At 36.5% G+C, this 12,700-nt stretch overlaps 1 protein-coding gene across 19 annotated transcripts in view; it reads left to right on the top strand.

The window, feature by feature from the left end:
- ZBBX (zinc finger B-box domain containing) overlaps positions 1 to 12,700 on the top strand; it is a 229,485-nt gene that overhangs the window by 16,312 nt on the left and 200,473 nt on the right. For 14 of the 19 annotated variants that reach the window (NM_001377489.1, XR_924174.3, XR_924173.2 and 11 more), the window contains 2 exons: positions 11,170 to 11,328; positions 11,783 to 11,937. The gene's annotated coding sequence lies outside the window, so the exon portion shown is untranslated. Of the gene's footprint in view, positions 1 to 11,169; positions 11,329 to 11,782; positions 11,938 to 12,700 lie in introns of those variants that run through there. The other 5 variants (NM_024687.4, NM_001199201.2, XM_047448953.1 and 2 more) reach the window with 3 other exon arrangements.

Below are 12,700 nucleotides of genomic sequence, written 5' to 3'. Positions count from 1 at the left end.
AAGAGGAGCTGGTACCATTCCTTCTGAAATTATTCCAAACAATAGAAAAAGAGGGGCTAATCCCTAGCTCATTTTATGAGACTAGCATCATCCTGATACCAAAACCTGGCAGAAACACAACAAAAAAAGAAAATTTCAGGCCATTATCCCTGATGAACATTGATGCAAAAATCCTCAATAAAATACTGGCAAACCAAATCCAGCAGCACATCAAAAAGTTTATCCACGATGATCAAGTCAGCTTCATCCCTGGGATGCAAGACTGGGTCAACATATATAAATCAATAAATGTGATCCATCACATAAACAAAACCAATAACAAAAACGACATGATTACGTCAATAGACGCAGAAAAGGCCTTCGACAAAATTCAACATCCTTTCATGAGAATGACTCTCAATAAACTAGGTATGCATGGAACATATCTCAAAATAATAAAAGCTATTGTTGACAAACCCATAGCCAATATCATACTGAATGGGCACAAGCTGGAAGCATTCCCTTTGAAAACCGGCACAAGACAAGGATGCCCTCTCTCACCACTAGTATTCAACATAGTATTGGAAGTTCTGGCCAGGGAAATCAGGCAAGAGAAAGAAATAAACGTATTCAAATAGGAAGAGAGGAAGTCAAATTATCTTCATTTGCAGATGACATAATTGTACATTTAGAAAACCCCATAGTCTCAGCCCCAAAACTGCTTAAGCTGATAAGCAACTTCAGCAAAGTCTCAGGATGCAAAATCAATGTGCAAAAATCACAAGCATTCTATAAACCAATAACAGACAGAGAGCCAAATCATGAGTGAACTCCCATTCACAACTGCTACAAAGAAAATAAAATACCTAGGAATACGACTTACAGGGGATGTGAAGGACCTCTTCAATGAAAACTACAAACCACTGCTCAAGGAAATAAGAGAGGACACAACAAATGGAAAAATATTCCATGCTCATGGATAGGAAGAATCAATATCATGAAAATGGCCATACTGCCCAAATTAATTTATAGATTCAATGTTATTCCCATCAAGCTACCATTGGCTTTCTTCAAAGAATTAGAAAAAAAAAAACAACTACTTTAAATTTCATATGGAACCAAAAAAGAGCCCGTATAGCCAAGATAATCCTAAGCAAAAAGAAGAAAGCTGGAGACATCACACTACCTGACTTCAAACTATACTACAAGTCTATGGTATACTACAAAGGCTATGGTAACCAAAACAGCATGGCACTGGTACCAAAACAGATATATAGACCAATGGAACAGAAAAGAGGCCTCAGAAATAATGCCACATATCTACAACCATCAGATCTTTGACAAACCTGACAAGAACAAGCAATGGGGAAATAATTCCCTATTTAATAAATGGTGCTAGGAAAACTGGCTAGCCATATGCAGGAAACTGAAACTGGACCCTTTCCTTACACCTTATATAAAAATTAACTCAAGATGGATTAAAGACTTAAACATAAGATCCAAAACCATAAAAACCCTAGAAGAAACCTAGGCAGTACCATTCACGACATAGGCATGGGCAAAGACTTCATGACTAAAACACAAAAAGGAATAGCAACAAAAGCCAAAATTGACTAATGGGATTTAATTAAACTAAACAGCTTCTGCACAGCAAAAGAAACTATAGTCAGAGTGAACAGGCAACCTACAGAATGTGAGAAAATTTTTGGAATCTATCCATCTAACAAAGGTCTAATATCCAGAATCTACAAGGAACTTAAATTTACAAGAAAAAAAAACATCAAAAAGTGGGTGAAGGATATGAACAGACACTTCTCAACAGAAGATATTTGTGTGGCCAAAAACATGAAAATAAGCTCATCATCACTAGTCATTAGAGAAATGCAAATCAAAACCACAATGAGATACCATCTCTCACCAGTTAGAATGGCAATTATTAAAAAGTCAGGAAATGACAGATTCTGGCAAGGCTTTGGAGACATAGGAACACTTTTACACTGTTTGTGGGAGTGTAAATTAGTTCAACCAATGTGGAAGACAGTGTGGCAGCTCCTCAAGGATCTAGAATCAGAAATACCGTTTGACCCAGCAATCCCATTACTGAGTATATACCCAAAGGATTATAAATCATTCTACTATAAAGACACATGTACACATATGCTTATTGCAGCACTATTTACAATAGCAAAGATTTGGAACCAACCCAAATGCCCATCAGTGATAGACTGGATAAACAAAATGTGGCACATATACACCATGGAGTACTATGCAGCCATAAAAAAGAATGAGTTCATGTCCTTTGCAGGAACATGGATGAAGCTGGAAACCATCATTTTCAGCAAAGTAACATAGGAACAGAAAACCAAACACTGCATGTTCTCACTCATAAGTGGGAGTTGAACAGTGAGAACACATGGGCACAGGGAGGGAAACATCACACACTGAGGCCTGTCAGGTGGTCGGGGGCAAGGGGAGGGAGAACATTAGGACCAATACCTAAGGCATGTGGGGCTTAAAACCTAGATGGTGGGTTGAAAGGTGCAGCAAACTACCATGGTACATGTATACCTATGTAACAAACCTGCATGTTCTGCACATGTATTCCAGAACATAAAGCAAAATAAAAAAGAAAAGAAAAGAGGTAATTCTCAAAAATAGAAATACAAACTGTCATTAGAAAATGTTGAAGCTTATTATAAAAGAAATGCAAATTTAAGACATGATCTTCACATATTAATTATTAAATAAACAAACAAGGGTGTGCTTTCATTTTCTGTCTTTCTTCTTTGAGTCTCATTGGCTTGAACGCTAGCTTGATGGCAGGAGCTGGGTCATTTATCTTAGACCAGTAAATACAAAGTGACATGTTGAGAAAGGCAGAACAGCACAATGGAAGGAGCCTAGGTACCTTTTACCCTCTGGACACAACTAAATTCTGGATTGTGTTCACTTACATGCTAAGTGAGAGAGAGGTCAACGTTTATTTTGTTTAATCTATTGCTATGTCGGATCGTGTCATAGTAGCCATCCTGCATTCTAATGCAGTGATTGAGTCCTTAATACCATAACTTAGTGATTGTCTTTTCTGGAAGATTGCATTAATATTCTCACTGATCTCCCTGTCTTTAACTCTCTATAGCCAATGTCCTCTGGTTGCCAATGTTATCTTATAAAAATATAAATCAGTTGTCACTCCTCTGTTTAAAGCCTGTTCGTAACTCCCTATATTAGTTGGCATGGGATGCAAACCCCTTATTTTGGCCTTCATCTCCTATCTTACTGCCTATCCCTCCATATAGTCTTATCTCCTAACATTTTCACCACATTTAAACCACACTCTCATTTGTTCCACCCTAGGATATTGATGTTCCTCTTCTAGAAACATTCCAGACTTTTGCATGGCTTGCTCCTCATTTAACGTGGCTCTTTGCAAATGTTGCTCAGAGAGGTTTTCTGTGACTATTCCACCTAAAATAGGATCTCATCCTAGAAAGGTGTCTGTTGATCTGTTTTATTCTCTTGATGAAATAAACTAAAACCGGTGTATATTTTTCTATCCCATACAATAGAAACTTAATGAAAACAAATAGGTTGTTACTTGTGTTCAAGGTGCCAGCTTCCAAAACAATACCTGGCATACGGTAGGTATCCAATGGCATGTTTGAATTAATAAATGAATGTTCCTTAATTCAGCGTAGTTTGAATCATTTTAAATTGTATCTTCAGGGTCATCCATAAATACACGTGGGTCATCCTTCACTCCTCAGCCTCTCATCTAGTTAATTCCAAGTCCATTGATAAGATTTTGATAACTAATAGCTCCTTTCACTTCCCTTCAGCTTTGCTTCCTCTGCTTTGGCCTAGTCCATTAGTATCTCCTATACAACAGCGATGACCTCTTAATGAATCTTCCCTTCACGGAATTGTATGACTTCCTTCCACCTCTTCTCTCTTTCTCCACGTCTCTTGAGTCCCTTGTATGTTTCAGTAATGCTAGAAATTTTTAGATTCTCTATGCTTATATTCTAACTCACTGCAGGGAAATTTGTATATGCTTTCTTTTTTCTATCCAGAACAGTAATTTCACCCACGCTCCATACCAGTATGATGTTCCTACGCAACAGACTAGGCCAACATTGAACATCATTGTGACTGAAAATCATTATGCTACATTGAACATCATTATAGATTATGCTAAGAAGTCTTTGTTGAGCCCCAACTATTGAGCAAGTATCCTTTTTCTGATAATATTCTCACAGTTTTAGCAGTTATTATTCTGAATTCTTGTCTGTGTCCCTCATCTAGCCTATATTTTTCACAAGTACAGAATACAAATCTTTCTGTTCATAGTTATGCCCATTATCTGTAAGAATGCCTAAAGCATAGTAGGTCCTCAATAAGTGTTTGGTGAATATCTGAATGAGCATTACCTTCACCAAAGCTAGCCATGTTAGGTGCATTGTAATTTTCTGAATTAATGTGAAAATGGGTACATGGGTAATATTAACTCACAATGGGCATAAGAATGATACCTTTCTTATGGACAAAGTTGTGACAAATCTTTTGAAATATTGTGGCAGTAACTTTCCCAAAGGTAAGGCAGTTATTATAAAATATTTTACAAAATCTAATGAAAAATCTGCCCTTGGGGATTGGAACTGTAAGAGAATAAAGTTGATGAAAGAAAATTACTGTTAGACATCTCATGTCAAACAAACCTTGTAACTCTTGTTTTGTGCCTCCTAGCTTGAGTGCATAAGAGAAAAATGCAAATTTTCCAAATGAAGTACAGCAAACAGTGCATAAATCTCAAGAAGACAGTATGATACACTTATTGAAACTTGGCAAGGACCAGAAATAAATGACTTTTTCTCTGAAATGCCAGCTTTTTTCTTTTTAAGATGAGCTTTTCCCTAAAGCTATATCAATTATAAATAATTGTTTGCTGGCAAAACTGGCACAGCTAAACTTAAAGCAAATAAACTAAGAAACTTAAGTGATTAAAAAATAAACAAGAGATTTTAGCTTTTTTTTGAGGAGATGACTTCAAAAGCATGCTAGAACAACTCACTTATATATGCCTATGCAAGAATATTAATTTGCAATTATGAGAGTTACAGATCAACGCTCTACTGCTGTTTAAAAGAATTCTCTGGGAATCTATACTTTGGAGTTTCCTTATAAAGAAAGTTACTTTGGTTTTACTTTATGATTCTTCTGGTAGTCATTTAAGTCAGGGTTCTCTGTTCTGCACAACCAAAACAATCCATCCTAGTTTAAGTAATTAATAAGGGAATTTTATTTTAAAGATGCAGGAGTGTATCATTTTTGGATGTAGCTAGTCTTCAGGAAGGGGAAAATTTCCAGAAAATCTGAAATCTGTCTCTCATCTTTGCTTCCTTCTCTCCCTGCCTCTACTTCCATCCTTTATTTTTTCTTTTTTTACCTTTTATCCTTTCTTTCTTTCTTCTGTCCAAATGACAGAATATTTTTGCCCCATGATTTTCTCTCTCAATCTCAATCTCTTATTCTCACAGGAGAGTATCTGACTGGTTCAGTTTGGACTCCTGTTCAATAAACCATTACAAGGGTAGGTTGGGTCACATAATGAAACATGGCTGCCAAGACTGACAGATTGTTGGCAGGCAAAGGCAGGAGGAAGAGTGGCAGATTATTGTTGTCCACCATATCTGCTTATCAATCCTTGGGTGGAACTAAGAAACACTAACCTTATACAGTTATGCACCATGTAAGTTTCAGTCAGTGACGGGATGACATATACAATGGTGGCCCCATATGATTATAATGGAGCTGAAAAATTACTTATCGCCTGGGGATGTCTTGATGATCCTGACTCTGTGTAGGGCTTGGGTAATACATGTGTTTGTGTCTTAGTTTTTAACAAAAACAGTTTTAAAATTAGAAGGAATAAATAGAAAAAGGCTTATAGATAAGTATATAAGGAAAAAAAATTTTGTGTACATCTGTACGATGTGTTTGTTTTGAGTTGTCATTACAAAAGGGTCAAAAAGTTTAAAAAAATTATAAGTTTATAAAGTAAAGTTACAGGAAGGTAAGGCTAATTTATATTAAAAGAATGAAATTTTTAAAAAAAATTTAGGGTAGCCTAAGTTTATAGTGTTTATAAAGTCTATAGTACCTACTCACTCATCCAAAGCAACTTCCAGTTCTGCCAACTCTAATTACGGTAAGTGCCCTATATAGGTATTCCATTTTTTTTGTCTTTTATACTGCATTTTGGCAGTCCTTTTTCTGTGTTTACATATGCTTAGATACACAAATACTGACCATTGTGTTAGAGTTGTGTATAGTATTCAGTACAGTAGCATGCTATAAGGGCTTATAGTCTAGAAGCAATAGGCTATACCAAATAGCCTAGGTGTATAACATCTAGGTTTGTGTCAGTTCACTCTTTGATGTTTGTACAATGACAAAATAACCTAATCACATATTTCTTAGAACATATCCTCATCATTAAGAGACACATGATTGTATTAAATTGAGGTTATAGTGAAAATAATGTTATTTATGTTCAAATAAAGTGTTCTGTTTTTTGAAACTGACTTTCTAAAGACTCCATCATGTGAATTGTGTCTTCACCTTCTCTGGACCCATATATACACCAACAATTTAAAAAGTTTTGTATTAGGAATGTTGATATTGGCAATGCAAGCTTCAATGACCAGTGCTAGTTCTTCTTTTTTACCAGCTGATGTAGTGCATGCTTGTCTGCAGTAAATGCATGAGAACACTGAGAAGAATAGATGATTACAGGAATAAATTCATTCAGGTTGCCAACCTCATTTGCAGAGACCCTGCAGTAAAAACACTGCTGGATAAAGAAGGTCACATATGGGTTTTATATTGGTCTATTTTAGGAATGCTGAATGAATGCCTCTCTCAATACTATGTCTTCTGTAGTTTCTCCGAGAAATCCTTGGACAATTTAAACTTTTCCTTCAGCTCTGGTTACTATCTGATTACATGCTGATGGTAACCTAATATATATGGTTGTCTCCTAAGTAACTAGAGCTATGTCATATTTTTGTATTCCTCCCTACTGCTATTGCAAAAGTAAAAACTCAGTCTGCCCTGCCTTCTTGACCCCACTCTCTGTGAGCTTATTTATTCTCTTGCTCTTCCACGGCTGGTTATCAGTACCATCTACTTATTTACCAAGCTATCAAATGTAGAGACAAGCAGCTCTGTTCCATATTCCTAGCTAACCATGTATCTGTACTTTCCAAGCCCTATTGAGAGTTTACAAAATCCTTTGAAACTGTTTCACTTGGCCTCTGCCCTCTGCCTTGATTTATTCAAGACTTATTATTTCTATCTTGGACTAATATAACCATATTTTAAAAGTGTCTCTTGTCCTCCTCTTTTCCACTTGCTCTATTTTTACATTGCCACCAGAATTACCCTTGAAAGATGCGGCTATACACATACTGAGATGCTTAAAGATCTGCTTTAAAAATTATTTGAGGGTATTAAGAGGAGAGAAGAAAAGAAAATTTCACAGTTTCCATTGTGAATAGGGTAACATTCAAAGTGCTTTTTAATGTGCTCCTAGCACAACTTTTCATTCTTATCTTTTTGCCACATATACTATGTTTGAACCAACTAGAAATTCTGCCCATGCCACAAACATGTAATGCTCCCATTCTTTTTGAACGTAGTACTTAATACATTACATATTAATTAGTTGCAAACTCTCACTTGAATTACTCAAGGACAGAGACGGTGTCTTTGTTCACCTTTGTACCTATCTTAGGGCCGTGCCTGGAATAGAACAGGTGTTGAATAAATGTTGATTAAATTTAACTATGCTCATTCAACAAGGCTATACATTTATTTTTCAATTTGGAAGACACTGCACATTGCAGGAATCGAAAATTTATCATAGGCCCTGATGATTCTCCTCCATTTGTGAAGCATCAGTAATAATTGCCTTGTGTTATGAAAATTTATTTGCTTAGAAATTCTGTGTCATGGATGATAGGCAGAAATTACAAAGCCGAGAAAAATTATAAAAGGCCAATGTCACCTCTTAACTCTAAGTTTCTTTTTATTCTTCCTCAAGTTTAGCCATTCGGATGCATTTAAATATATTTATATCATACTAATTTGGTTTTTGCTAAGGATTTTTTGTAATTTTATGTTGTCTCTAAAGCTCAGTTTTCTTGACAAGTTGAAAAACCCCATACATATGTAATAGGATGTTATATTTAGCATTTACCAAGGCATAAAGAAAGTAGATGCTTCATGTAAAAGTAAAACCACATTTCAGGGCTTGTAAAAAAGGAGATGGTAGGAATTTGGTTTTGCTACCTTGAAATGCCCACAAACTTTTGCCTATAAAAGAATCTGAAGGGCCAAAGAGCAAATGGAAATTGAGAGAATACTTCTGGAAAGCTGCAGATATGATATTTGTCCCATTTTCTTCCAAAGGTTTGGTATTATCAAAATATAATTGCAATACTTAAAAACAAGATATTCTTTAAGTAGAGAATATACATGTGATACAGTTTAATTCATTAAGGACGGAATTATTAGAATGGTAAAGCTGGTTCAAAGAAAATTTGGTAGCTGACTGTATATAGGAATTGAGATAAAATATTAGTATGAGATTTCTAGGTTAGATACAAAACTGGTTAAAGTTGTATAGTGCAATAAAACCATTAGCTTTGAAATTATTTTATTTAAAGGAAAGACATTATTTACATATCCAGATACAAATGATATGAAAAATGCAGGTGAAAAAATCTTCAAATAAACATACAACATTACACAGAGACTTTATCAATAGTTAATGATAAGAAAAGCAACACTTTTTTTTAGAAAATCATGTAATGCTCAGATTATCTTAAACAGTATTCTAGTATGGCATTGAAAAGACATGCTGTTTTTGGCTTTACCTTATTTCTAAGTTTTGGATAATGCTTGTTTACAGTCCCTGACCCTTATTTCAAGCTTAGTAAAATGAGTCATGTAAATCTGTGCTCTTAATTTCTGCATTGCCGGTAATTTTTATCTCTTTAAATTGAATATCTCCAGTTCAGAAAACTTGTATTCAAACCTTGTCTCCACTGTGGCACAAAGAAGCATGAGTTTGGAAAAACCCTCAGGAATACTGTGCTCTTGATATAGTTGTGGTAAACTGTGTGCGGCATTGCTGGTGTGCCAGTTAAACGCATTTTACTTCAGTGGAGAGAATATCATCTCTCTAGAGCTGTAATTGTTTTGACATGTTTCATTTCATTTTGTCACTAATCATCATTCTGAAAGACAAGCACTTCATACTTTTTATTTTACTATGTGACTTAGCATAGGCTTAGTTTTTGTCTCTGCTTTGCCTTTTCATAACTGTGCATAAGCTATTTTTCTAAATATAAGATAATGTTCTTTTAATGCTTTCAAAAAGTGCAAGAATACTTTATACATTATTTTTATGAGTTTAATTTTACTATTGTGTAAGTAAATGCATTGTAAGAATCATTTTTTGGAGTAAAAGTCCTTTGTAGAAGTGAGGAGAAGTTATTTGCAAAATAATCTTTACTGGGACATAATTGACATGTGTTTACTGTTCTCTCTGGACTGTTTCTTCCTCTAGTGGCCCATGTCTTTCTCTTTCCTTGCATTCAGATACTTCCCTGGCCATCTACCCTAAAACAGAACTCAATTAGTTTCTATTTCTTTATTTGGCTTTAGTTTTCTTCATAGCAGCTGACATGCATTTATACTTGTTTATTGCCTTTCTGCTCCTGTTAAAATATATTTGAAAATAGGAGGGGCTTTGACGATTTCTTCACTCCAGTATTTTTGGGATCTAGGAAATGGACTTTCAATAAATATTTGTGGAATAAATAAATAAATGAATAGATCAGTAAATGGACGAAAGCTGAAAATATCTTTGGTAATTTGAAGAGCGCGCCTGTATGGGAAATAGTCTGTGCAAGAAAACCAGTAGTATCGCACATCCACCTGAAACTAGTTCTTGTATTAAAGTTAAAGGAAGGACGTGGTAAAGTTATACCATGAACACGTTAATAGCAACCATCATAGCCACACCAGCACCACTGTTTCTTACTGTTTATTAAGCACTCAATATGGGCCTGGCTTAGAGCTAAATACTTAATATTTATTGTTTCATTTACTCTTCCATACTACATTACGTATGGACTAACTGTACTGTTATCTCATTTAAGCAGTTAGACTGAGCATTGTTACTTGCTCATGGTCACACAGCAGGTAAGTTGTGGCAGTACTGGCACTCAATCTTGAATCTGCCTGACTCCAAAATCCAGACTTATAACCAGAAGACTACCATTGTCTTCTCTTATCCATAGTGGTTGTAATCTTATATAATTGAATATGCCAAGTGAAATCATTATTTTTTTTTAAATGGGTATTGGCAGGCATAGTAATGTCAAAAGTAATGGTGTAAAGATTAGTACATTAACTGTAATAGTTAGGATTGTTAGTCTGGTACCGAGACAGATGCAATGTGGTTAAGCATAGAAGCCTATACAGTGCAGTACCAACCACACATCCTACTTGCAGTATTTAAAAAGGGAGATAAAAAACAGCATATTTAGGAAGCCAAAGATAAATTCACTACAGGTGCAGCTTTGTTCGGAAGAGTTGAGTTGAGAATTGTGGGTTAACTGTGTGTGTGTGTGTGTGTGTGTGTGTGTGTGTGTGTGTGCATATATTTGCTTTTGCTTTTTGTTTTATACCCATTAGACTCCACGGGTCATGTATTCGGTACAAAGAAAAGAGAGTTCTGGACTTTTGAAGAGACCTGGAATCTCTATTGACTTTGCCTATGGTAGCCATTGATAAATCATTTAAACATAGCATAAATGTGGGAGTTCTGAGACTAAACTCCTTGAATTAATTTGTAGGTCTGCCATTTGCTAGCTTTGTAATTTTGGATTAAGATAGTCAAATTTTTTGTGCCTTAATTTTTTTAGATTTAAGCTGGCTTGCTATGAGGAAGAATCAAATATGACATATAAGTCTCTCACTTGTGCTTGGAATATGACACATGCTCAGGTTTAGCACATACATAATCTCCAAGATCCTCTCTGGCGGAAAGCTTCCAGAGCCTGTTGAGTTTTTCCGCCCTTTTCCTTCCTGTGATCACCATTCTCTCTCATTTCGCAGGCTCCTTTTCGCCCTCTGCCGGCGGACAGTGGCAGAACCCAGCTTTCTGGTTGCTATGGGTACCGAGGTAACGCGGTAACCAAGGAGACCAAGACGGAAACTCCCGGCAGCTATCCGCGGCCATCCGGCGGTGGTGACGCGAGAGGCTGGGGTCTCCAGGTGGGTTGTCTGTCTGCGGGTGGATGAGAGGGGAGGATGGTCTCTGAGTCCGCCTAGCGGGCAGCAAGCCCGGGCTAGTTGGTGCGGGGAGCAGAGCGGGCAGCGCGGCTGGGAAGCAGACTCAGCTCGGGTGGAGCTGGAGGCACCGGCCCAGCAAGTGTTTGCTGAGCCCCTGCCATAGGCTGACATAGTGCCAGGCCTGCAGGCAGCAGGACGGGGCCCTGGCCTCAGGAGTTGAAAGCCTTTGGTATACACCAAAGACTTCCCAGCCCAAAATGCTAATGGATAAATGAATCAAGAGTGAACCCCAGACAGTGAAATTGGGGACTTCATCAGTTGTACCCCTTCTGCAGCCCGACCCTTTCAAATACTAGCCCCTTTTATCCTTTGAAGTCATTTGCACCTTATGAAAAATTTGGCACCCTGAGAAACCATATTTCATCCCCTTTTGTAGCCTTTAGTCTGCCTGCGCGTTCACATGCACCCACTTACTTCTTGAAGTCTACTCCTCACAAGTAAGGGCTATGGTGCGGGGTGCCCGATTCCTGAGAAATCTGAAGATGTGGAAGTTTATTTTTTCTTCCCAAAATCAGCAGTAGAGGGACTCAGGTATGTAAGGTTCAGTTATATATATTTTATAGCTTGACTTAAAATCTAAAGTTAACAAGGCTCATTAAAAAATATAGTAAAGTTGAAACTACACAGGATTAAAATTATACAAACTGTATGCTTATGCAAATGTAATGACTCCCTCTGCCTTTCTCCAATTTAGCTTATCTTATAGTCTACACAGAGGGCTGCCCTGACCTGTCATAATTTTACCAATTGTATTACAAATGAATTGTTTGAAAGTAGTTCCTTTATGTCTTTCAAGACACTTAATAATTCTTGCAATTATTTTATTCGCTTTTTAATTTTTACCTACTTCCTTCACCAGAGTGTAAGTTCAGTGAAGACTGGTATTATACCTGTCTGGTTGACCTTGATCCTCAGTGCTTAACCTGACACCTGGCAGGGAGAGAGTGTTCAATGTATATTTGTTGATTGCTCATCAAGATCGTTAGGAAACATGGAAAAAAGAAAACAAAAAGTTTAGTTGAAGTGGGAAAGAGGGCGTGTTTAATTTTTTCCGTAGGGTAGGTTGTGCAAAAAACTAAAAGCAGTAGAAAAAAAATTACATACTTAGCACATTATTATTGGCACTACATTATGTATAGGGACTGTATTGATTGCTGGGGTTTCAAAGGTCAATGGTAGGACCACTCTCAAATATTTGGGCTACTTAGGGAAACAAAATCTATATAAACAAAGATGCAAAAAATAACACAAGGTAACATACAATAGCAAATGAGTTTAATAAACATGGTCTTTC

The sequence above is a fragment of the Homo sapiens genome, chromosome 3 (genome assembly GCF_000001405.40).
Source record: "Homo sapiens chromosome 3, GRCh38.p14 Primary Assembly".
Taxonomy (NCBI): domain Eukaryota; kingdom Metazoa; phylum Chordata; class Mammalia; order Primates; family Hominidae; genus Homo; species Homo sapiens.
Note: the sequence above shows the minus strand (reverse complement) of the source record. Positions and strands in the feature narration are given on the sequence as shown.